At 42.8% G+C, this 26,200-nt stretch overlaps 1 long non-coding RNA gene and 1 other non-coding gene across 2 annotated transcripts in view, besides 1 other annotated feature; both read left to right on the plus strand.

The window, feature by feature from the left end:
- On the plus strand, window positions 1-59 carry LOC124900365 (small nucleolar RNA SNORD71). Its single transcript, XR_007064816.1, has one exon. It is a non-coding gene; the product is annotated as a small nucleolar RNA SNORD71 (small nucleolar RNA).
- Window positions 1-26,200, plus strand: part of LOC105370802 (uncharacterized) — a 225,875-nt gene that overhangs the window by 5,620 nt on the left and 194,055 nt on the right. The window lies entirely within an intron of this gene.
- Window positions 4,097-4,391: an enhancer, noted in NCBI's record as "tiled region #13517; K562 Activating DNase matched - State 13:Ctcf". NCBI's record gives its function as "activates a minimal TATA promoter and a strong SV40 promoter by Sharpr-MPRA in K562 cells {active_cell/tissue: K562}" and the evidence as "EXISTENCE:reporter gene assay evidence [ECO:0000049][PMID:27701403]".

The following is a 26,200-nucleotide window of genomic DNA, read 5'->3' on the forward strand; positions in this document are numbered from 1 at the left end:
AGAGTGCTGGTGGCTGATGAGCCCAGGGCTGCTCTTGCTCACTTTGCTGACAGCACTCGACGGGGAGTCAGCAAAGCCAGAAGTGCAAATAAAGCCATAAGCTTCAGGAAATCTTGGGTGTCATTCCATGTAAACAATAGGACTGGACGAATGGAAAACTAGGCAGCTGGAAGCACTGTCAGAAATTCAAGCCAGTAAAACCAGGCAGAGCAATGTCATTCCACGATTACAGCCAGCTGCATATTTCAGTGCTAAAATGTTTGATTTCTGAACAATGACACTCACTAGTTATAAAATAGATGGGATTGGTTTATGCATATTTTATCTCTGAAGTTGCTACTGTCATATCCATTTTACAAGTAAGGAAACTGAGGCTTGGGGGGCAACTACAGTAATGCCACATGGCAAGCATTGGCGCTAAAGCTAGAATCCAAGTTTTGGTCTAAATGCCCTATGCTATCTCCATGAAAGCAGTGCTTTGCATGAGAAGTCCTCAAGTTTTAGTTTGAGGGAGGTGGGCTGTAAATCAATGTGAAGCCATTGATAAACACTGATTATCTACAAATGTTACTAACTTCCTGGCCTTTTTTCTTTTCTTTGCTTTTCTTTTTCTTTTTTTCTTTTTTTTTTGAGAAAGAGTTTTGCTCTTGTTGCCCAGGCTGGAGTGCAATGGTGTGATCTCAGCTCACCGCAACCTCTGCCTCCCGGGTTCAAGCGATTCTCCTGCCTTAGCCTCCTGAGTAGCTGGGATTACAGGCATGCGCCACTACGCCCGGCTAATTTTGTATTTTTAGTAGAGACGGGGTTTCTCCATGTTGGTCAGGCTGGTCTTGAACTCCTGACCTCAAGTGATCCACCTGCCTCGGCTTCCCAAAGTGCTGAGATTACAGGCGTGAGCCACCATGCCTGGCCCCTGCTTTTTTCTTTAATCTTCGCTCTTGACAAATCATAGTGAAATGTCTTGGGTTCATTGTCTTGGGAAGTCTGAGGTCTAGGGCCCCCTTTTGATGGAGGTGGAAGGCATTTACATGGTGAGAGGGCCAGTGGATACCATCTCAGGTCTCTCTTGCTCTTCTTACAGAGCCACTAGTCCTACTGAATTAGGGCCTCATCCTTATGATCTCATTTAAGTTTAGTTACCGCCTAAAAACCTATGTCTAGATATAATCCCACTGGGAATTATATTTTCAACACATAAACTTCTGGGGACACATTCAAACCATAGCATGACTTTTGATTTTGAAGGCTGACCTGGGTCTGTCCGATGTGTCCTCATGGCCAGACTCAAGCCGTGCACTCCTGGAAGACTTCCAGAAAATTATGCTGTGCTCTTCCTGATGCAGAATGTAGATTCTTCCCTTGGTGTTACCTTGACCACTTTGTCAAGTTGGTTTCTGTCATATTTCTCCTCCAAAAAGCCACTGTTTTTTCCATTGTGATTAATGAGTATTTTGTAGGGAGATATTCTGGCATTGTACCAATATCCTGTTCCTCACTGAACCTTTACCCACCATCCTTAGCAATTATTGACATCTTCCTCTATCATGGTTGCCACATCATAGAATAAGATCTATAATCTCCCATTTCTGTCATCCTATCTACTTTTATTAGTTGGCATTCACTGTAAGGAAGGGCTTTCCCTTCTCACCCACTTGTTTATTTATATCTTTAAGGCCTCATAGATTCTCATTTTATCCAATGGATTGTAAATCATCACTATCATTATTTATTTCAAAGGTCAAATTTTCCAAATTTGGCCAGTGAAACTCCCTTCAGGCTGGCTCCCAAGTCCTTTTGACACGTCTGTATCAATCTTTGAATACTTCTTTACTTTCTGAAACAAGATATTCCAAACCCACCTTATACTTCGTACTTATTTATTTAATTATTTATACGCTAAGGTCTCATTGATTCCCATTTTATTGAATGGCTGTAACCCATCACTATCATTATCTATTTTAAAGTAACTGCTATTTTACCTCTAGTCTCATTTCCCTAAAATTCATCCAATATTTGCACCAGATTAATCTTCTAAAAGCATAGCTACTGTCCTTATTTTTTGACCATGCTGGCATCTTTGAAGAAGCAGGAAAAAACCCAAGCTTCTCATCCAGCATTCAAGACGCTCCCCACTCTGTCCCCATTTGCCCTGGCCATCAAGTTTCCCAAGACTCTCTGATGTGTTTCTCCGTGGATGTTATGAGCACCTCCTCATCCTCTCATCCTCCCTCCCTCCCTCCCTTCTTTTTTCTCTCCTCCCTCCCTCCCTCCCTCCCCTCCCTCCCTCCCTCCCTTCCTTCCTTCCTTTTCCTTTCTTCCTCCCTCCCTTCCTTTTCCTTCCCTCCTTCCTTCCTTTTCCTTCCTTCCTTCCTTCCCTCCTTCCTTCCTTTTCCTTCCTTCCTTCCTTTTCCTTCCTCCCTCCCTTCCTTCCTTTTCCTTCCTCCCTCCCTCCCTTCCTCCCTCCCTTCCTTCCTTCCCTCCTTCCTTCTTTCCTTCCTTTTCCTTCCTTCCTTCCTTCTTTCCTCCCTCCCTCCCTCCATCCCTCCATCCCTCCCTTCCTCCCTTCCTCCTTTCCTCCTTTCCATACTTATCTAGAAGCTGCAATGTGTCAGGCACTGAACTAGGCACTGAGGACAGAGCAGTGAATGAAATGAAGTTCTTGCTGTCATGGAGCTTGTCCTGGAAAGAGACAGTAATCACACAAATACATATGCATCAGGTAATAGTAAATGTTGTGAGAAAGAATAAAGCAGAGTAAGGGGATAGAGTGAATGGTGCGTGATTGAGGGTGTGTCTATCTCTCTTTCTACCTGTGTGTGTGGATGCACAAGCGATATTTTACACAGGGCACATCTAGAACTTCCCTACCTTCACACCTCCTTCGCTCATATCATTCCTTCTATTTGGCATTTTCTTCCTTGTTGATACTTGAGCTTGAACTTCAAGAAATAAGGTTTTCCAGTCCTCATGACGTCTTCTCTGATTGCCCCAGACCCAGTGATCCTTCTCTGAACAACAACAAAAAGCAAGTAGAAAACATGGGTCTGTATATACAGCATGTTATATTGAAGTGATAAAGTTATACTGCGAAGCATTATAATTTATATATATAATAAATTATATATATTATAATTATATATAATATATATATCTATTCCTCTTTCTATCTTATCTCTGTAGCACATAGTAGATGCTTGATCAGTTTGAATTAAAACATAAATAAAAGGACCCGTGAAGATGAGAGAGATGGGAAATATGGCGGACTTTTAGAAGTTAGTGAAAAGATTGTGACTTTTTCTAGAACCTTTGGCTATGATCTCACGCCACTGCAGCATCTGCAAGTTTGAGGATTCTAGAGCTAGGGTTTTATTTTCTAATTTCATAGATGGCAGATGACTGAATGACAGTTTCACATCATATTTTCATGTCAACTGCTCTTGATGGTTATTTCTGATTGATTTGACACCCTGGTGAATTCCTGCAGCAGATCTTTTTTGAAGTTTATTTTTTATTTTATATTTTAAGTTCCTAGGGTACATATACAGGCTGTACAGGTTTGTTACATAGGTAAACATGTGCCATGATGATTTTCCCTGCAGCAGATCTTGGAAAAAAAGAATTGCCATGTTAGAATTCAATGATGTTAGCCTGAAACAAGCAAGAAAGCAGACAGGCATATAACCAATCAACGCAGCCTCCTCCCTGCTATCGCACGTTCTTTTCTTTTTTTTTTTTTCATCCCCAAATAAACATAATACCTGTGACGTTTAAAGTCTAGGTCAGATACTGTCTGCCTGATGTAGCAATTCTCTCAGGCTGTATCTGCGATACCAGTGCGGCCGGTGAAGAGGGCGATGGTGAATTGCACCAATAATGCTGTAGGTGGCGCTGTGTACTTGATGCATGTGGCCAGCGTGTCTCGAAGATTTCTTTGGAGAACGGATGGCGTCTGGCATCGTTTTAGTTAAACGTGATCTGTCGGTTTAGTTTCTGTGGAGCAAGTCTGAGAAACAGATTAGCCAATTTCTGACCCTAAATGGAAGGTCAGACGTTCTGTGCTCAAATGTAGCATTCGCCGTACCCTGCATGATATCTCGGGCTGGGCATTGGAATGATGCTCATAGGCTGTGAAAATGACCCTAAGGTGTTTCTTCCGAGACTTTGCCGGGGCGTCTTGTCTGGGTTTTGTACTTGGAAGCAGAAACTACATTAGAGTCACATTCTAGGCCTCTGGAGGTTAGGGGGAGGTTGAGTTGAACATGACTCATCAGCTATCTTTAAGCAGCAAGGCCGTTTGGTGCTTTAACTGATGTAGCTCAATTTTTCAATCCAATATTGCCCTTTAAAGTGGGCCCCTGGTTGAATGAAGTCTTTATTGCCCTCATCCCATTCCCAAGTTTTTGGAGCTCTTTCTTTGTTAAAAACCTTTATGACCATTCAGGAAAATTGGCCTAGCGGCTCTGATTGTGTACTGCAGATCACCTAATAGGAGAAAATTGGGTGCTGACTATATCATTTGTCAGCCAAACTGCAGGATCTCGAATTCCTTAATTAAACTTGCAGGTTTCAGGTTTTAAAAAATGAATTCGTGTCTTCGTGTCTTATTTTTACAGATTTTGAACATGTAGAATTGAGAGAATTGAAGAGCACCTAAGAACTATGGACTAGATGACCTCCTAGTATATTACAATGCTAATTCCCTAAACACATTTACTAAAGGCATATCTGACTTCAGGTGTCTCTTATATATTCTTATATTTAAGAAAATATTCTCATGTATTTATATTGAAGGGAATGAGAGGATGCTTCCTATCACATTTCTCTGTGAAGTTATTAAAGATGAATTTGAATATTTTTACTTTTTTGTGTTGTTTTTAGATGACTTCCTCCTTTTACTTGTGACCAGTAGATGGCTCTATGGCTTTCCTTGAGTTAACAGGAGTTAGTTTGGTGCCTCTCAAAGTAGAAGGTTAGTTCAGTTTTGCCCTGGCCTGAGGGGAAATCTTGAGCTGTTTTTTCCAATCCCACAGGAGAGGAGGATGGCTGATGAAGGTTCTTTCCCTCCACCTAGAAAGATTTAAAGAGTACTGACCTGTCTTCGTCTGTTTTCTGTTGCTGTAACAGAGTACCATGAACCAGGTACCACCACCCTCCTACACCATCCCTACTCTCTGCCTCTGGATCTCTGAGAACCTTACGTTATGAGTGAATGTGTGTGGAGGGGGATTGTCCACTGGAGTCGTCAGATAATGACTAAGTCTGGGGGCTCACGTGGGCATCAGTCCTGTGGATGGTCACTGGGCAGTGTGCTGGCTACTGTTGATCAAAGGTCCTGCCCAGATGCCAGAGGGAAGGATGACTATTGTGACTCCTCAGCTCTGGCCATGTAGAACACTAATGGAGTCTGGAGTATCTGACTATCTGTAGCACTGACTCAGTTCTGTTTGTCTCCCTGGTGCTGGGGGTGACTGCTTAGAGGAGGTGGGGCGTGGGGGTGTATCTCTGGATGCTGTCTGTGTTTCTGTCCACATGGTCTCTCCAAATAAAGGCCCTTTGTGAATTGCCCTCATCACTTTTCTTTCATTGCTGTCATTCTAGGAGTGGGAACAACTGTGCCCAATCACATATATTCTTAAATCTTTTCACCATATTCTTGTGAGGTAAAAATTGCTAGTGCTCACTCATACCTGGTTCTCCTTTCCTCCCTGGCACAAGTGAAGTTGAAACTTACCAGCCCATCTTGTAGTTAGGTGGAGCCATGTGACCTGTTCTAGCCAATACAATTTGAATGGGAATAGTATTTCATATTTCCAGGCTGTTAGGGACTGAATTGTCTCACCCCATCCCCTCAACCCCATTGAAGCCCTAACTTCAATGGGATTGTATTTGGAGACAGTCTTTAAACAAGTAATTAAGGTTATAATGGTGAGGCCCTAATCCAATTGACTGGTGTCCTTATAAGAAAAGAAAGAAACAGTAGGGATCTGCACACTTCATGTGAGCATGCAGAGAGTAGGTGGCCATCGGCAAGCCACGGAGAGAAGCCTCCGGAGAAACCAAATCTCTCACACCTTGATCTCGGACTTCCAGCCTCCAGAGCTGTGAGAAATAAATTTCTGTTGTTTGAGCCACCCAGTCTACAGCATTTTATTATGGCAGCCCTAGCTGACTGATATACAGGCTGAGGAATTTAACAGTGAGTGTGAGTTCTCCATTCTCTCTTCCTCTCTTTATTGACCTTCAGGGGATCTGTATTCCAGATGATGTTGCTAAAAGCTAGAATGGGGAGGCCCAACCCAAATAACTTTTCTTGTGCCAATCCACTGATATTTCTGGTTCAGTTTTGCCGTAGTATAGCCCAGCATTCATCAGGCAGACCAACTCAACCTGTACCTCGCCTTTGAAAACAAAAGCTAAGCATGTGACCATTTGGCTCTGCAATTCCATGGGATGAATCCTCCTTCAGGCAATGGATGCCTCCTGTTTGGATGCATGAATGGGGTTGACTCACAACATAATTGAGAATATCAGGGTAAAAGAGTTGGTTAATTGATCGCAATATTATAGTGCTACAATTACATAGGGCCCCAAGCAATCTAAGCGGTTTCCTCTTAGTGTTCAAACAGCCCTCCAGATCTCAGAGACCTGATGAGATGCTTGAGGTGAAGGTCAAAGGCAAGGTGGGCCTCTGGCATTTCTCTCTTTAATAAGAACAAATCTACTTTTGTCTGTGTATGGTTTTGTGTGAGATTTAATTTAAACGAAGAGTTCTGTTGCTAAAGAAAATTTAAAAATCACTCTGGTGTTTCCATATTAAAAGAAATACAGATTTTATGAGTATATGAAGTTCTTGGAGCTTGAAGTTTAGTTTGATTCAGCCAGAGCTCTGTATTGATGGCTTCAAGATCATAAGCCTCAGTTCAGCTCAGTTCCTTGATCTAGTTGATCTGAAAAACTCTCTGACTCAAGGAAATAGATTTGCACAAAGTGCAAGAGTCATTGTAGGTCTTCATGTGTTAATGTTTTAAAAAGGTATTTATGAAAGACACCAATGGCATACGGTGATACAGCAGTAATAGTAAAACCATATCCTGAAAAGACACCTATGTGTTTCAAATGCTGCTACTCCCCATTCTGTGCAGACATGTCTAGATGATCACAGAATTTATTCCTGCAGAGCCCAGATATAGCCCTACAATTCTTCTCAGTACTCTGTTCTATGCAGCCCCTTCCCACTAATTCATGTTAACACATGAAATGAGACCCCATTTATCATCTTTATGCATAATTAATAATGATTTGGGGTTTGTTCATCTATGTCTTTGAATGCTGGGTTATAGAGCTGTGGTTGAGTTGGTCACTGAGTGATCAGTACTTCTTGAAGCCCATAATGCACATGATGACCATATGTTTAAAACTTAAATTAGGGATGTATTCTATCTTAAGATCCTAATGAGATTAATGTTTGAAATGAGAATGTATCAATCAGGACCCTGGCTTTATTTAGCTTTTTAGGTGGCTCCAGTTCTTTCTCAAGACCTCTCTCTTGATTTTAGCTACAATTTTTGTTTGTTTGTTTTGAGACAGGGTCTTGCTCTGTTGCCCAGGCTGGAGTTCAGTGGTGAGATCCATCTCAAAAAAAAAAAAAAAAAAAAAAAAAATATATATATATATATATATATATATATATATAATAAATAAAAAATAAAAAATATATATACACATAACACTATGAAGTAGAGTAAAATACAAGTAGGTTAGAAAATTGTAGCTGAAGGCTGGGTGTGGTGGCTCATGCCTGTAATCCAGCACTTTGGGAGGCCAAGGTGGGAGGATTGCTTGAGCCCAGGAGTTTGAGACCAGCCTGGGCAACATGACAAAACCTCATCTCTACAAAAAATGCAAAAATTAGCCAGGTGCAGTGGTGCACATCTGTAGTCCCAGCTACTTTGGAGGCTGAGGTGGGAGAGTCACCTAAGCCTGGGGAGGTTGAGGTTGCAGTAAGCCGTGGTTGTGCCACTGCACTCCAGCCTGGGCAACAGAGTGAGACCCTGTCTCAAAAAGCAAACAAACAAACAAGAAAATTGCAGTTGAGAGAAAGGTAGGATGAAGTGGGATGGGAGGTTAGGCACACACTGCCTGCCTTGTCCAAGGGAACTTGCCTGGGGCTTGGGCATACATTTGGCTTTAAGATGTTGATATTATATTATATTATTTTATTTTTTGAGGTAGAGTCTTGCTCTCTCACCCAGGCTGGAATGCAGTGGCGTGATCTCAGCTCACTACAATCTCCACCTCCTGGGCTTAAGCAATTCTCCTGCCTCAGCCTCCTGAGTAGCTGGGACTACAGGTGTGTACCACCACACCTGGCTGATTTTTTGTATTTTTAGTAGAGACGAGGTTTCACCATGTTGGCAAGGCTAGTCTCGAACTCCTGACATCTAGTGATCCGCCCACCTCAGCCTTCCAAAGTGCTGGGATTACCAGCGTGAGCCACCGTGCCCAGCCTTTAAGATGTTTAGTAGCCAACACAACAAGAGAAACATGAGCAGTTAATGCAAGAGAGAAGAACCCATGTCACTATTCCTATTCTTGGTGCCAAGTTCAGGATAATGTTGCTATCATGGGCCCTCAAAAACGTAACAAGCCTCGTCCTCAACAACCCTCACTGTTTGGTTTTCTAGGACTATTTCTTTTAATATGCTTTAGTGTAGGCTGAGGCTTGGGGCAGCCCCCCAATCCAAAAATATGTCCACAAACATGAATTTAAAACACATACGGGATAGTGTAAGATGTCAGGAAGCAATGCCCTTTAGTAAACATGTTGTGTCCACTGCCCCACCCCCATCACTGAGAATGTTGACCTTGGAGATGAGGGTGTCTCCAATCTCCTTAAAAGGGCTGAGGAATCTAGCAGTACATGACGTGTGGGACCACGGGGGCAGCAGTAAGGGAGAACACCCTGAAAGAGAAGCTTTACAATTTCTCCGTGAGGGAAATGAGATTTTTCTAACCTTACTCCTGCTAGTGATTTTTAAACCAAGTCATAAAATAAATACAAATGTAAGAGAAAAAAGAAAGGAGAGAAAAGCAAAATAACGAGGAAAGGGTAGAAGTTTAAGAGAATATTAAAAATAAAGCATTGATACTTGGTAAGAGAAAGGTAAAGGGAAAGGAGCAGGATAAATATTACAATCAGAGAATAAAAGCCCAGTGCAGATAAAAGGTTAAGACATAAAGCCACCGTGAGAGATACGATAAATAAGTTTTAAGATAAGAATACAGAAGAGTGAAATTATTAAAAGAAAATGAGAGGAGTGAAAAAATAAAGCTAAAATTAAATCCAAGTTAAAAAATTAAGACACTGTGAATAAAAGTTAAAAAGCAAAATAGAAATTAAGAATTAAAAAGTAATGACAAGATAATAAGTAAATTAGATTTAAGATAAAAGATGAAATAATATAAACCAACAAGGTAAAAGATTAAATACATCAAAGTGAAAGAGATAAAAGATTAAGAGGATAACAGACTAAACCCCATGGGGAGAAACAATAAAAACATAAAAGTAGATGGTTTTGAAGCTTAAGTACAAGATTAAGGAATTAAGAATGTTCTTTTGGGTGTTAATACTTTAACAAAGAGGATTAAGAGAAAAATATTTTAAAAAGAAAATAAAAGAAGCTTGAATTTAGAAAAATAGATAATAAATCAATCCAGATAAAGGAAAGGAGAATTTAAATTAGCACAAACCAAGACAACAAAATTTTCAGCAATAATCACACAGAAAAAAAGCTAAAAAAAACCCGAGTAGGAAACCCAGAATGTTTCCGTGGTAAACAAATACCCAACAACTTCAAAACCAGCATCTATTTATTACAAATTCCCAGCCTGGGCTTTGGTCCCCGCACTGGAGAGTCCCCTGTTGTATACTAGTGGCATTTATGGCAAGATGAAAGAGGCCAGGCATGCTGTGGGATGCCCTTACTTTTTCATAGAAGCTTGCAATCTCTGCTTTCACCACTTTCTTTTGCAGTAGTGAAAGGATGGTTGCTCTGTAACTCAACCAGCTGGGGTTGGGGGTTCTGGCACAAGCAGTTGCCAGCCCAAACTATGCAAACATCTTGGGCAAAAACCACATGGGAAAGTAATTTGTTCTTCAGAGAAGGAGGGAAAAGTTGGCAGGGAGATGGGGGATAGGTTTGGGGTTGAGGGTTGGTGAAGGTGGGGATGGAGAGAGATCAGAGTAGATCGAGGGAGGAATAAGAGGTAGCTCTTCTCAGTGAAATAGGAGTTGAGGTCATTTTCTGAGAGTGAGAGGGTGAGACCGAGGATGAGCAGAATGAAAATGACTGGGTGCAACTGAGGGGTGGTGAAGTGCCTTGCAACCCAACCCTTCACCCCTAGTTGGGACCCAGCTGTGATTAGACAGCCTGACTTTGTCTAATGTTACCAGGCAAAATCACACTTCAGTGCTGGTTCTCTTACAAAGTAGGGTCTCAGTGGGTGGAAAGCCAAGAGCAATTTGGATCCTGGGTTATTAGTAAAAGCAGAATTAAGTGGCGGTTGATCAGAAGTGGTTGATCTTGGGAACTAGCCAGGCCAGAGGGGACTGGTTGAGTGGAGAATGGGGCTGAATACTTGCTTCAAAACAGTCTCAGTAAGAGAGGGGACTGTGGCCCTAGGCAGAGGTAGCAGTTGGATGGGAGTTTCAGAGCTAGGGCTTACGCTTTGATGTTTTGGAGATAAAACAGGCTCATGCTCACACAATACATGAGGGTGTTTGAAGGCAAGGGAGACCATTGGGGGTGTTTCAAGACCATGAAGATATTCACATCTCTGAGGATGAAGGAAGGGTATATTGGCTACAATGATGGGAGCAAAGTTTGGAAAGTCCTGAAGAACATAGGGGAGAGGTCACATGGAATAATTGATTCAAGAGGATACAAGAGGAGGTGGTGAAGTAGACAAAGAAGGGAGAAATATGTGGATTTTTCCTTCTGGTTTCTCAAACTGGAGTGAGTAGGAGAAGCAGTGGTCTTCTTTGGATGGCATGGGAAGGGGGCAATGTAGGTTTCAGTTTAGGAGACGAAGTAGAAGGGGAGAGGAGGCAGGATCTGAGAGGCAGATGGACTCAAAGAATCTTTCTTCTGATAAGAGCATGGCTGAAGAGAAGAGAACGCTTGATTTAGCCTGGGGAGGGAGAGAGTAGAGTGGAATAGAGATAAAAGAAATCTAAAAAGAGAATGTGCAGAGTTATTTGAATCTACGATAGCAATTGTGGGTCACTGGGACAAACAGACAGGCCTTGATAGTGTGGTGGGGAGGGATAGAAGTGTGGGGAGTGTTGAGAAGAGTTTATTTACCATTGGACAGTTTAGTGTAGCTTATCACATTCCAAGTTTTGATATAAACACTAAGGATTCTACATACATTGCATATACTAATAATTTAAAGGCAGGGGTTTTTATTGCTTTTTGTCAGGGGGAAGGCGTGGGTGCTACTGGTAGAGGCCAGGAGGTGGGCCATTTAATAACCCCTTCCAAGTTATGGTGGTTTACAAATATAGTTGTGGCTGGGTGCAGTGGCTAACGCCTGTAATCCTAGCACTTTGGGAGGCCAAGGCAGGTGGATCACCTGAGGTTGGGAGTTCGAGACCAGCCTGACCAATGTGGAGAAACCCTATCTTTACTAAAAATACAAAATTAGCCAGGTGTGGTGATGCTTGCCTGTAATCCCAGCTACTCAGGAGGCTGAGGCAGGAGGATCGCTTGAACCCGGGGGGCAGAGGTTGCGGTGAGCCGAGATCATGCCATTTGCACTCCAGCCTGGGCAACAAGAGCCAAACTATCTCAAAAACGAAAACAAACAAACAACAACAACAAAAAAACCACACACACAAATATAGTTGCAACCTAAGATAAACAGTTCTTTGGTTTGAATATCGTTTGACCCTAGCAGAAGTCATGTTGTCTTGGTCCCCAGGGTAAGGGTGATGAGAGTTGGTGAGACCTTTAAGAGCTGTTTAGGTCATGAGGAATCTACCCTCATGAAAGGATTAATGCTATCTCATAGGAGTGAGTGAGTTTTGCTCTTGTGGGACTAGATTTGTTACTTCGAGAGTGGGTCATTATAAAGGGAGGCTGCTTCTCATGTTTGGTCTCTTTACACACTACCTCTTTCCCTTCTGTTTTCCACCATGAGTTGAAACAGCATGAGGTCCTCACCAGATGTGGCCACCAGATATTGGACTTTCCAGGCTCCAGAATCATGAGCCAATTAAACCTTTTTTCCTTATGAATTACCCAGTCTCAGATATTCTGTTATAGCAACAGAAAACAGACTAAGACAAACAGTGAAAATTAAGGAGTTAAGAGTAATTAGGAAGAGTACTGGTTTGAGACTCAGGACACCAAATAGGTTATTACAGATAGTTGGTTTGCTAATACTGCTGCCAAAGTACCTTTGATTCCCAGCATATTAGACAATAGATATAAAATATGCCTGTGTGCCTGAAAAAATTTTCAGGGGCAATAGCTGCTGGCAACTCTTCTGTAGGTAATTACAACACAAATTCTCACACATCTGCTTAGTGGATGGCCCATCAGTGATGCATAACAATGATGATTTGTTTCTGGTTGGATGTGTTAAATTGTCAGCTATCAAACATTTTATATGTGAGACTGCTGGGAGTGATGAGATTGCAAGAGCTTTTTCAAAGCATACCCTCCACAGGATATCTCAGCATCCTGTGCACCATCCAGCATCCATTTCCGTGAAGGATAAGGAATCTGGGCCATCAATTTGAATACCAATTAAATGGCTTAAAAATGTCCTGGCACATGTATTGATCCAGAATAACCTGGCTCCACCAAAAAAGCCTTTGGCTACGGTGGGAATTTAAATGCATTTGTTAACCAGGGCTCCAGGATGCCCTGGGAGTATGTGGGAAGGGGGCAAATGACCTCTTTTGACATTGGTCCCCTAAGGGAGGGGTTGAGAGAAACTTTTCTCCTTGAGAAGGAGCTGGAGGGAGTCTTTGAGAAAGTTGGACTAGATAAGTCTTTTTCTTTTTCTTTTTCTTTTAGTAAGTGAGGAAAGGTTAAATAATGTGCCAAAGGTTGTACAATTAGTTTCTGTTTTAGGCAATGCTTGCACTCAAGACTCTCATCTGATATTTAAAGGATCTTTTTGTTTTCACCACTTTTGTGGAGTTCATTCTTTGAGATGTTACATACCTAGTCTGCATTCAAAAGGATGAAAAAATGTTGTCATTTTGTTTTATCTGCTCACCTCAAATGTGTGTGTTTGTTTTTCTGTAGTGTTGCTCTGTTAGGATGAACTGAGATCTCAGGGAATATTGCAAAGTGGAATCAACCCCACAGAAACAAAAGCCCACCTCCTCTGGAGCAGGTCCTGCTAGTGTACCAATGCGTCATCCAGGACTGAGCAGCTGCTGTTGATGGAGAGAGTGGGCAGGGGTCAGCACTGAGGCCTGAGGTGCTGACCTGAATCCTTCTGTTGCACGTCCAGTGACACAGTGGTAGCAGCTTCTAAGTTGGTTTCCAGTCAGCCCTAATGCCCATATTCATGTCTTTGTGCAATCCCTTCCCCTTGAGTGTGGCTGGACCTAGTGACTTGCTTCTACTGAATAGAATGTGGGAAAACTGATGAGATGTCACTTCTGAGGTTAGGTTACAAAAAGACTGGCTTCCTGTCTTGCTTGCCCTTTCTTGTTCTCTTGCTTTTTTCCTTTGAGGGAAGCCAGCTGCCATGTTGTGAGCTTCTGTGTGGAGAGGCCCACACAGCATATAACCGAGGGAGGCTTTGGGTCAGCAGCCAGAGAGGAGCTGAGGCCCTTAGTCCAACAGCCCTCAAGGAACTGAATCCTGATAACAGCCATGTGACTGAACTTGGAAGTGGATCTTCCCCCAGTTGAGCTCTGAGATGACTATACCCTTGTGAGAAACCCTGAGCTAGGGTCTTCATTTAAGCTGCTCCTGGATTTCTGATCCACAGAAACTGTGAGAAATATGTGCTTTTTTTTTTTTTTTTTTTTTTTTTGAGACAGAGTCTCACTCTGTCATCAGGCTGGAGTGCAGTGGCGCAATCTTGGCTCACTGCAACCTCTGCATCCTGGGTTCAAGCGATTCTCCTGCCTCAGCCTCCTGAGTAGCTGGGATTACAGGCGCACACCACCACGCCTGGCTAACTTTTGTATTTTTGGTAGAGATGGGGTTTCACCATGTTGGCCAGGATGGTCTCGATCTCTTGACCTTGTGATCTGCACCCCCGGCCTCCCAAAGCGCTAGGATTACAGGCGTGAGCCACCATGCCCAGCCAAATATGTGCTTTTTTAAGCTGTCAAATTTTGGAGCAGTTAGTTATGCAGCAATAGATGATAGATAACTAATGCAGATACACTTGTTTACCTTCATTGAAGAGTAGTTATTGCAAGGCCTTAGTAAGGTGGCATGTTTAGTCCTGCCTCCCCTCGTTAGTGATATAAGCTACTGTCAAGTGCAAGGATACTCTTTGCCACAGGTGTGAATTAATCTTTGGATAGCTTTACTATTTTACGTTTAGTGCTCATGAGACTATGATAGCCAACAACCTTCACAGCATCAGTCATGGCCTTGTGTCCCTTGCATGCTGAGGTGATACAATGTTTACAGACAAGCATCTGAAGCGCATTGAGAATAATGAATTTTATCCAGAGCTGCCAACATTAACAGGTTACCTTCACAGTCAACAGTAGCCTACTAATTTTGCAACTCACAGTTTAGACTTGGAGTACTTGTAAGTTTTACATGATATCTCATGAATTTCCTCATGGTTCTGCACATTTTAGAACACTCATCATCCCCTCTATTTGAGATCTATCCACTCAAACATTCAGAAGCAATCTATCTCAGACTCTTCCCTCTGCCTAGTCGTGTGAAGAGCAGGTTTAGCAGGAATGATGCACTGGGACACTTGGTCTTGGTGGTTAGGTTTATCAATAATGGTGTCTGCATCCAAGGACTGTTTCTGATTTTAGTTCTAAGGAATATACAAGCTGCAAGCAGAACTTGTTAATTGCTTGCAGGATCTGAGAATTATGTAACAAAAGAAACCTCAAAGATTTTTACCTCCTTTGATTCTATATGCTAAACAAGCATGAGGTGTCATGGGAGGGGATAGTAGAAGTAGCAAAAACTTGAGAGTTAGATGAATCTGAGCATCATTACTTACTAGCACATCACCTGGGGCATATCACTTATTTTTCTGAGCCTCAGTTTTATCATCTATAAAATGGAGATAATATCTAATTTGAAGTATTGTTATGGTTTGTTTAATAAGGTTGCAGGAGAAATATTCCACACACAGCTGCCTTGTGTTGGAGATGGTTTGAGGAAAGTAAAGAAAAGGGACTTCCTCAGCATTTGGGGAACGTTAAAGGTTTTTAAGCAAGTGAATGATGTGATCACATTTATATGTTGCTGATACTCTGGAGATGGCATAAAGGATAAATTGGAGGAGGGAAAAGACTGCAGATAGGAGACCAGTTAGGATGACTTCACAAGGTTCCAGGTTGGAGATATGAAGGATAAATTGAAATTTAAAGATAATATACAACTATTAAAATAATTAAATATTTTCAAGCAAAAGTTGCAATCATCACACGAAGAACTTCTGAATACATCCAGACTCACCAGTTAGTATTTTGCCACCTTGGCTTTTGCTCTCTTTCAATCTACCTGTTTATATAAAGCTATTATTTTTGCTAAACCATTTGATAGTAAGCTGCAGACCTGCTGCTCCTTTGCCTACAAATACTTCAGCATGCATTTCCTAAGAACAAGGATGTTCTTTACATAACCACAGTACAATGACCAAATTCAGAAAATTTGACATTGCAATAATGCTATTATCTAATACACTTTCCATATTCTAATTTCACCAATTATCCCAATAATGTCCTTTATAGCTATTGTTTTCTCTGGTCCAGGATTTAATCCAGGATCATGCATCACATTTAGTTATCATGTCTTCTTAATCATTTAGCTTGGGACAGTCCCTCAGCCTTTCTTTGTCTTTTTTGACACTGACATTTTTGAAGAGTACAAGCCAGTTATTTTGTAGAGTGTCCCTCAATCTGGGTTTTTTTGATGTTTCTTCATAATTAGATTTTCATGCATTTTTGGCAGGAATATAATAGAAGTACATCACACCAGGAGCTACTTAATGTCAGATTGTCTCATTATTGGTTGTGATAGTAACTTGGTTAAGGTGGCATCTATCAGGTTTTTCCACAAGTTACTATTTTCTCCTTTGTAATTAAAGAGTTATTTTAGGGAGCTGCTTCCCAGCCATTTGCTGAGAATTTATTAAGTCCCAGGAGATATTTGATACTTTATATACTTTATTTCATTTAACAACTATGAGGAAGTTTATTTTGTTTTTTCACATTAAAAACAGTATGTATTTTATTTTCAAGCATACAACAAACACCAAACTTTTCCAGTGCCAGGATGCTTTCCATGAATTGAAGAAGTTTATTTTTGTGTTACCCTCTACTCTTCCTCCCCTGTTTCACAGATGAGAAAACTGAGGCTTGTCTAAGGTCACACAACATGGTTGTCTGTGATCCAAAGTCTGTGTTCTTTACTCATACAGTGTCTCCCAGGACCAGTCAAATATCTAGAGCTCTCAGTGCCCAGACAGGGGCCTCCCATCACAGGTAAACCTGTGGCCATGAAAGACACAGAGGACCCTCAAATGCCTATTAGTAAGCGAAAGAAGCCAATCTGAAAAGGCTGCACGTTGTATGATTCCAAATATATGATATTCTGGAAAAGGCAAAACTAAGGAGACAGTGAAAAAGGTCAATGCTTTCCAGGGATAGGGGAGAGGGAGGATTGAATAGATGGAGCATGGAGAATGGAGAGCAGTGAAGCTACTGTGTGGTACTATAATGGTGGATACGTGTCATTGTATGTTTGTCCACACCCCTGGAGTGTATAGCACCAAGAGTGAACCCTAATGTCAACTGTGTACTCTGGGTGGTTGTGATGTGTCCATGAAGGCTCATCAGTCATAAGAAATGCACTGCTTTGGCAGAGAGATGTTGCTAAAGGGTATGTGCCCCATCCACATACCCAGCTAGTTCCTATAAGTGCTAATGTACCGCTTTAGTGGAGAGATGTTGCTGTGCATGTGTGGGGGCAGGGCGTGCTGGAAAAATCTCTGGACCTGCTGCTCAATTTTGCTGTGAACCTAAAACTGCTCCTAACAAATAAAGTCTATTTAAGAAAACAGAGTGGGGCTGGGTGCGGTGGCTCACGCCATAATCCCAGCACTTTGGGAGGCCGAGGCAGGCGGATCACTTGAACCCCATCTCTACTAAGAATACAAAAATTAGCTGGGCGTGGTGGTGTATGCCTGTAATCCCAGCTACTCAGGAGGCTGAGGCACAAGAATCGTTTGACCCCGGGAGGTGGAGGTTGCTGTGAGCCGAGATCGCGCCACTGCACTCCAGGCTATGCGACAGAACAAGACTCCGTCTAAACAACAACAACAACAACAAAAAGAGGGTGGATCCTGATAGAGGAGTTTTTATTTTCCTCAGTGATCACAAATTATCTTAAAATGTTTCAACTATTGCTTTCAAAATAAAGAGTGTATATACTCCAGTTCTGCTAAAATCAGTGATTGTTTCTAAAGGAAGGTGGGAGATGGGAAGGAAAAAAAATAGAGCAAATTGAGAGAGTACAATTTTAAAGAGATAAATATGGAGTGTGTGAATCTGGAACATATGCATGTGCCTGTCAGCTTGTGAATTAGGAAAAAGCTATAGCAAGAAAAACAAATACCCTTCTTGTGGCCTTTTCTGCTAACAACCTTTTGCATTTTCAACTGCAGGCTTGAAAGGGAAGGAGTCACACTTTGCTCCTTACCCTAAGGGCAGTCTGGGCTGACTGGGGATGCACCGCCTCTGAGAGAAAAGGGTTCTTCTGACCCCATTAACTGCCTGTGGAGGCCCAAGCCTGCCCTGAGGCTCTCTGCCCTTGTCTTCAATCCTCAGGTTGACCACCTGCCTCCACCTGCCAGCAGCCTCAAGAGGTAGCCAGGGATCAGGCCACTGTAGACAGGGACTGCTGGGTAAGGGCCAGGAGAGCCAAGACCCTTAGCTGGGAGTGTGGGGTGGCCTTGTGGGATAGGACAGCCGGCTGCACACAAACGGCATGTGAGGGTCTTGAAGAAAACTGCCTGCTTTGCAAAGAAGTAAGGTTTAGTCAGTAAGAATGGGATGAGAGGAAATCAGAAAACTTTCTCTAGATATCAAATGGGATATTATAAGTAGGCTGGAACCTAATTATTTTCAAGGAAGAAAGAGAAGCCAAAATAATAGATGCTGCAGGGAAAATGTTGCGTTGGATAGTCTGAGGCTCCCCAGGACTCGTGAGAAGGCTGAGCGATAGGATTGCCCCGGGAGATGGCCAACTCATCACTTTCAGCAGAGTCACTTAATAGCGGAATCAGCCCAGGAATTGGATAGATACCTTGAGACAAGCCTCCTGTAATGTGAGTCACTCAGAGAAAATGAAAGGAAGCCGAAGCAAGAGAAAGGGAAGGGAGGGAGGAGGAAAGAAAAAGAAGAAAAAACGAGAAGCTAATGACAAGATAGAAGATGTACACTTTCACAATCAGTCTCCTTAAAGTTTTGGACAAGAATGTTTCAAATTAAAGAACAGGGTCGGGCAGTTTGCTCAGTCAAGAGATGATAATACTTTGATAGAAGCAATTCTCTTTGAACAAATAAGTGAATATATATATAAAATAGGAAACAAATAATTATAGACAAATTTGGGTTTATGTCTTAGTAAGATATTCATTTATAAAAATATTTGTCACTGTTTCATTCCACTGAACCCACGGCTGCAGTCACCCCAAAAGTGGCATCAGGGGAGTTCCCACAAGGGAGTGCCCCAAACTATCCCTAAATGGAGTCGTTTAGGATTCCAAAGAAAGAGGCACTCAGTGCCAGGGTGATCAGTCGAAAGCATTTATTAGGGGAACTTACGGAGTGCTGCAGCAATCCTTGCCACAGACAGTGAGAAAGGGCTGTTCTACCGAGGTATGTTCCAGCTAGGGAGTGGGGTATGGAGTTTACATGAGGGTTTAAGGAATTTGGCTCAGGGCTGGGGCTAGTTTCTTTTATGTTTTGGACAACAACCTAAACACCTTTTTGGTGTTTAGAGCCTGGTGTTTGGAGCCTGGGAATGTTCAGGGCTCCAGCCTGGGTTCAAGCCTGCAGGGAAGAACATGCAGCTGCCCAGGCAACAGAGCATTGACGGTACACTGTATTTCTTGGTCAGGACAGAAAAAAAGTGGGGAATCCTGGGGCACCGTCCGGTCACTAGGCAAATGTGAGGCATGTATTGCTGTAATCCTATTTTACGGTGTGGATGGCAAGATTAAATATTATTTCTGTTTAACAGGTTCATTGCCACACAAGAGGTAGAAGCAGGCAGTGATCTGGGGTGGCCGCATCGGTCCCATCTTCCATTCTGAGCTCTGCTTCTCAGCTCCAGCTCAGCTCTTTGTGTTATGATTGGTTCTCAGCCTTGGGTGTGCACTGGAGTTCTTTGAGGGGGATGGACAAAAATACCAGTGTCAGGTCCCACCCCAGATCAATTCAACCAGAACTCTGGGGATGGGACCCCAGCATTGGTTTTTTATTATTGTAAAAGCTCCTCAGGTGGTTCTAATGAGGAGAGCTGCTGATGTAACCTGCCCTGAGCAATTGGACTTTGTTCCTATAGAAGACAACCTGGTAATGTCTGTGGGACAATAATGCTGCTCCCATGGGGCCGAGCCGCCATCCCTTTGCTATGGTGGCTGGCCCCAGCTGGCATTAGCCCCCTGTCCTCCAACGCTCTGATCATCCGCAGAGGTCAGCAGTTTGACAGAGGGCTAGGCAGTGCCAAGTGGCATATCCCTGGTGACAGGAGATCCAAGAGAGGAATTGAACCAATAGAGAGTGTCTTGTGGCCAGGAACTGGCTCTGATGCTTGGATGAGGGCCCTCTGAGAGGGCAGGGTTGTTTGGGGAGGTAAAGCTACAGAGTGAGGTTGGCAGGGTGGAGGATGTAGAAGAACAGGGTGATGAGTGGGTGAGCAGTGGTGGAGAAGGGGTGTGGGCTTGGTCTCAGGCATCAGTGGCCTGGGGGTTAGGACTGAGGTTAAAATTGCGCCAAACCAGAGTCAGCCATGTAAGGACTCAAGGTCAGCCTATCAGACCAGAGCTGGGAACCCAGGGGCAGAGGAACCACAGCACTGGGGGCCCAGAAGGAAGATGCAGATGTGGAGATGAACACAGGCTTGGAGAAGCAGGCTGCCCCAGACGGCCTTCCTGAAGTCTGAGCTGCCGGAGGAGGTTATTCTCAACTTGCCCAACTAGCCAGCTCCCAAGTATGTAATTTGTGGGGCTTAGTGTGAAATGAAAATTCTGCCTTTTGCTCAAAAAAACCAAAAAAGTGATGTGCAAAGTACTAAAATGTAAAGCTTTTTCTGTTCTTCCATGGTCTCTCTCACAACTTGTCTCTCCCACAACTTGTCATGGTAATTTTTATTTGCTATTTAATGTGTTTCTAAGTAAAGAACAATTGAGATTTTAAATTATTAGCATGAATTATACTGTGCAACTTAGTATTGTGCAATGCTAGTTTTAAATGCAAATATAAGAAGCATGCAACTCATATGCAGAATCACTGAAATTACACAATTTGTATTTCGTAGCTCATGAATACATGTATGTTTTGTTCTTACCAGAACAGTAGACATACTGCACACAACTAACTCAACTTTTTATTTCACTTTGTGATATGTGCACATTCCACTGACCTTCTCTACCTTTGCTTTCCTGAGGAGTAAGAAAGGATGGAAAGGAAAGGAAATATGGATTCTCTGCTCTTTTCCTTTTCTTTTAAGTCATCATTTTTTTTTCTTGAGATGGAGTCTTGCTCTGTCACCCAGGCTGGAGTGCAGTGGCGCAATCTTAGCTCACTGCAACCTCCGCCTCCCGGGTTCAAGGAATTCTGCCTCAGCCTCCGAGTAGCTGGGATTACAGCTGTGCGCCATCATGCCTGGCTAATTTTTGTATTTTTAGTAGAGACAGGGTTTCACCATTTTGGCCAAGCTGGTCTCAGACAGTAACACAAGTAAGTGACACGAGGATATGAGAGGGTTCCTTGGTCATTTATGTTTCCTAGAACATCATTGCCTCTTTTCTGTGTTCAAAGCAAACTCTGGTTTGAAGGGAAGTGTGGCCTCTTGGAGCTGTCAGCACCCTGCATAATGAGTGGTAGACCTAGCATGCTCATCTGCTTCTAACTTTGAGTCTTGCTGATGCTTTGTGTGTCCACTGCAAATCTGTACTCATGGGGCATTGAGACAGCTCTGTGCTAATGGGGCAGCAAGGAACTTTGGGGAGCGTGCATATGGAGCATGCATATGGAGCATATTGTCTCTGCCCCAGTGCAGGCTCCATTGTCCCCTCGGACTTCACTCTCAAAATGCAAGTTCAAAGATAAAATTAAGAATTTCCAGGTAGGAAGAGCAGAGCATTAAACCAAGTGCAGGGCCCTAGGTGACTGTGCAGGCTGTACATCCATGAAGCTAGTCCTGATGAAAAGAGGAGTCAGGAGCTAGGGTTGTGCTTTATATCCAAGAATGATTTCCTTCTGGTTTTATTTTAATTTAGATTTTTAAAATTGAGGAGCTTATTTTATTTAGAAATGTTATCACTTCTGTAATTAACCTCGCATTACAAGCCGAATCAGCTCCTGCCTAGATTAATTTGAGCAGGGGAATACAGAGCTGGGTGAGGAGCAGGATTAGCAGCTGGGGAAGTCAGAAATTCCTGAAGAGCTGCCAATCAGGCTGGATGGAGCTGAGGGGAGAGCCAAATGCTTAGAAATCAGATCTGGGATGCCATTTTGAGAATGGGCCAGCCCCAGAGGCTGGGAGGAAAGGGGATAAACAGACAGGGGTAGAACAGAGGAAAGACCCTGGGAGCTTCAGCAAAGGCACCTGGTAGCTGTCCTGGCTGGTGGACTGAGGGTGTTGCCTGGGGAGCCTCAGGACGATCTTGGCAGACATCCAGGCTGGCAGAATCACAGAGTGTGACTTTATTATTGGCAGTAGGTTTAAAGGATAGGACGCCAGTTTCTGGGGAACTAAGCATAGAAGGTCAGGCAAGCCTGATTCCAGCTTCCAGAGGAACTGAAGGAGTTGAAGGAAAGAATTCAAGAGCTCTGCAGACAACATGGACGCTGGTAGACCAGGCAAGTTTTTGTTTGCTGTAAGAAGTAAGGCAAGTAGGAGTCCCAGCACTGGATCTGGGATCCAAGGACTGGGCAAGAGTGCCCCCTGATTCAACGGATGTGAGTTCCTGAGCACCAGTGGTCCTTTTATTTCTCTGACCACAGGATCAGCCCAAGGGCCTGAGGGTGGGCAAAGGGGCCCCAGCTGGCGATTTAGAAAGACATAGGAGCTGGGAGCCAGAGGAGTTTTTACTTTGTGCACACCATTTCTGCTGAAATGCTTTGATTTGCTCCCTGATTTATGTTTTGTATGTGGAAAAAACCCAAAATATTGGCCTTCCTTTCCCCAAGTAGAATATGGTTGCAAATGATGCCCAAATATAAATCTGTGTTAGCCTGCTAACCAATTCCAGGGGCTCAGAATTCACCTAATTCTGCACTGGTCCTTTTTCCTAGGAGTGCTTGTGCAAACAAAAATTCACAAGGCAAATTGTTTAAAATCAATCAACTACAAATAAACAAACCTACATATTAAAATCAGTTGGCAAACATTAAATATTGCAGTTGTTTCCAAACTATAGCCCTTGCTCAATCAAATGGCATGACTCTCCGCAGGCTGAGCACAGGTAATGGGACCTGTCACACTTCCAGCCACTCTGATGGAGGCCAAGGTGATGTGATTTCCCATCACTTGAGGCTGGGGTCACTTCAGGATTCACCGCAGTTCCAGAATGCTCCAACCTGAAGAAAGTTGCACTTCCTCAGAGCCAGGAATCCAAAGGCATCTCATTACCAGGCACACGGCTGATGTGTGTGGGTTTGTGGGACTGTGTGACTGGGGAGCCTACATTTCCAAGGATGACTTCAGTTAGTGAGTACTGTGCAGCTTAATTATTAGCATATCATCCCTTGGCCTCCCAATCACACCTTCTGTATCCATGTCTTGCCTCTTCTTTTCTGTAATCCATGAGGTTTTATACATCTTTGGGAAAGCCAAACAACGGCCCTTCTCTGATACGGCAAAAGGAAAGGGCAGGCAGTTTGAATTCTTTGGCATTTCCTGAAAGTGGTCCATAGATCTGATCTAGTGACTTAGTTCTGCATGTATAATTAATTGGCAGCATGTTCACAGCTCCTACTAAGCTGCCTGATTTACATAGTGAAGCTAGCAGATGCAGATGCGGGGCTGGTCTCTCAGCCAATGAGAATTCTCGAGGACAGACAACGCAAGGTCACAAATGAAGATTGGAATGAAGATTGTGTCTTGACAGGCTTTGAAGGGAAGTGAAAATAACCAGGCTTTGATTTGCACCTATGGTCACTGCAGGCTCCAAAAGATGTCATTTTTAGATATTTCCTGTGTTTTCTTTTAGAGTCACAATACGTCAGGCTCAGCTAAATGAAGAACTAAATTAAAACTGTCACTTCAGCTCATAAATAACAGATGTCTAATGCATTTAATTATTTATAGTCTTGAATCTTTCAAAAATGAAAATGACTACACACATTTTTAATGTAGTTCTTGGTAATTTGCCACCTGACTGATAAGATTTGCCAATAATCCTGCTTGCAAACATGAAAAATAAAACCGAGACTGACTCGTTTATTTCACGAGACTGCTTCTTTGCTCCCTTGTGGCTTTAACAAAATTTAAATTAAACTGAAATCTAATCACAACAAAATGATGTTCATATACTCACATTAATAATTGAGTTTTTGCAGATCATGAGGTAGGTCCTTGGATGCCAGAGATTTTTGCATTGCCTGAAAAGTCCATGCCTTGTCCTTCTCCAAATCATCCCCGGGCCAGGAGGCTGTGACTACACTGATCAGGGTTTAATAGAGAAAACAGACACATGGCCCCTGAGCATGGCTCCCACATCATATTGGCAAGTTTGGCTAAGTATGGTTAAAAATGCCATTGTGATTTTAGTGATACCAGAAAATGCTCTTCTTCCCCAGAATAGTTACCTCTTTCAGGTCTCTGTTAAGGCTCCAAAATGACTTAAATTTACACTAAGGTATAATTGGCCAGTGTCGGATTCTGAGAGTAGTTATTTTTAAGAGGAGAGAGGATACAGTTAAGATGCTTTGATTAGTTGGGTAATTACTTTCTCAGTGGGCAAAGATAAACATTTGCTATTGGGTCTAGTGGTGTAATGAAAAGCGAATTAATTTTGAGGGTCATAAACACCTAGGTTAGAATCCTGGTTGTAACAGTTATAAGCTAGTGTCCTTGAGTAAGTTACTTAAAATCTCTAGGGCTCAGTTTCTTTATTTCTAAAATGGGCATAATCATACCTGCCTCCGAAGGATGTTATAAAGAGTAAATCAGGCAACATAGGTAAAATACCTGTAGTTAGTAGGTATACTATGAATATTAAGGGTTCCCATATCTGGCTGGGAAAAAAGCAACACATTGTTCATTAATGGAAATAATTATATTAATTGTTCCCTAAGGTTCTTTTCAAGTGAGTCCTTGCCTCCACTGCTCGCCAACCTTGTTATTTGGCTCCTGCAAAAAATCTTCATTGACTTCCCAGTACTGCTCAGTTCTTCCCTTTGTGATTTCTCTGGGCCATTTCACTAGTCATGACTGCTCAGACATGTGCTTTGACACAAGGCTGTCAGTATCCTCTGTTGAGAAAGCCACTGTTCCCAGGTTGTCATGTGTCATGGAGTTACACAGTCATATGTAACTCCAGTGGGTCACTGGCACATCCCAGAACCAACAGCATATGCCCCAGAGGCCCCAGGGTGGTCAGATGCCAGCAGGGACTATGTGAATGTCCCAGGAGAATCTAGGGGCTTGTGGAGATTGCAGTGAAGAGAAGAGATGATGGCTGTTGACGACGATGCAGCCACTCGTTCCCAGCTCTAGATTGTTGCCATGCATGAGCACAGGCCCAGTGTCACCAGGTCTTCAGCTTTCTCAAGAGAATCCAGAAACCAAGATACATTTTTTTTTTTAATGGAGTCTCTCTCTGTCACCCAGGCTGGAGTGCAATGGCACAATCTTGGCTTACTGCAACCTCTGTCTCCCAGTTTCAAGCGATTGTCCTGCCTCAGCCTCCCAAGTAGCTGGAATTACAGGCATGTGCCACCAAACCTGGCTAATTTTTGTATTTTTAGTAGAGGCGGGGTTTCACCATGTTTGCCAGGATGGTCTTGAACTCCTGATCTTAGGTGATCCACCTGCCTCGGCCTCCTGAAGTGCTAGGATTACAGGCATGAGCCACCATGCCTGGCCCAGATACCAAGGTACTTATGTGAAAACTTCTAAGTTTTAAGTGGCAAGCTCTTCATTCACACGAAACAAAACCAAACCTGTGATTATCAATGCTGTGCTATCCAAACAAAGCAGGCCTGTGGGTTTTCAGTTCTGACTTATGGGTTGAAGGTGTTTCATTGGCCCGAACTCATGGGTGCCATTTATCTCTCAGGGGTCTTAGACCTCCTGGGAGCAGTTATAATTTTTCCTTTAGTAGCTATGAAGATTTTCTTCCATCTCTCATGGGGCTTATGACATTTTGATATGGCCATTTAGCTGCTGTAGTGATATTCATATCTATTTGGTGACCATAAAAAATAATTATTGAACTTAAAAAAAAAGTCAAGTGATGCCTTAACCCTCACTCTATCCCTGACTTTCAACCCTCATCGTCCTCCTATCATTGAATCTCACCCCCTCCCCAAGGCTCCAAGGTAAGAAGAGTTCAAAGATGAGGTAAAAGCACAAATCTCAGTGATGAAAATCCTTGCATTTTAGTGGTTTAAGTTTTAGGCCTTGTGAAATGTCCCAGTGTTAAAACAAAATAACCTGCTTAAGATCTTGAAGTAATGAGTGTTTTTAGCTCCCCTTTCTCCTGGCAGAGGTTGTCCCTTAAAGACAGG

This window comes from Homo sapiens, chromosome 15 (genome assembly GCF_000001405.40).
Source record: "Homo sapiens chromosome 15, GRCh38.p14 Primary Assembly".
In the NCBI taxonomy this organism is placed as follows: Eukaryota; Metazoa; Chordata; class Mammalia; order Primates; family Hominidae; genus Homo; species Homo sapiens.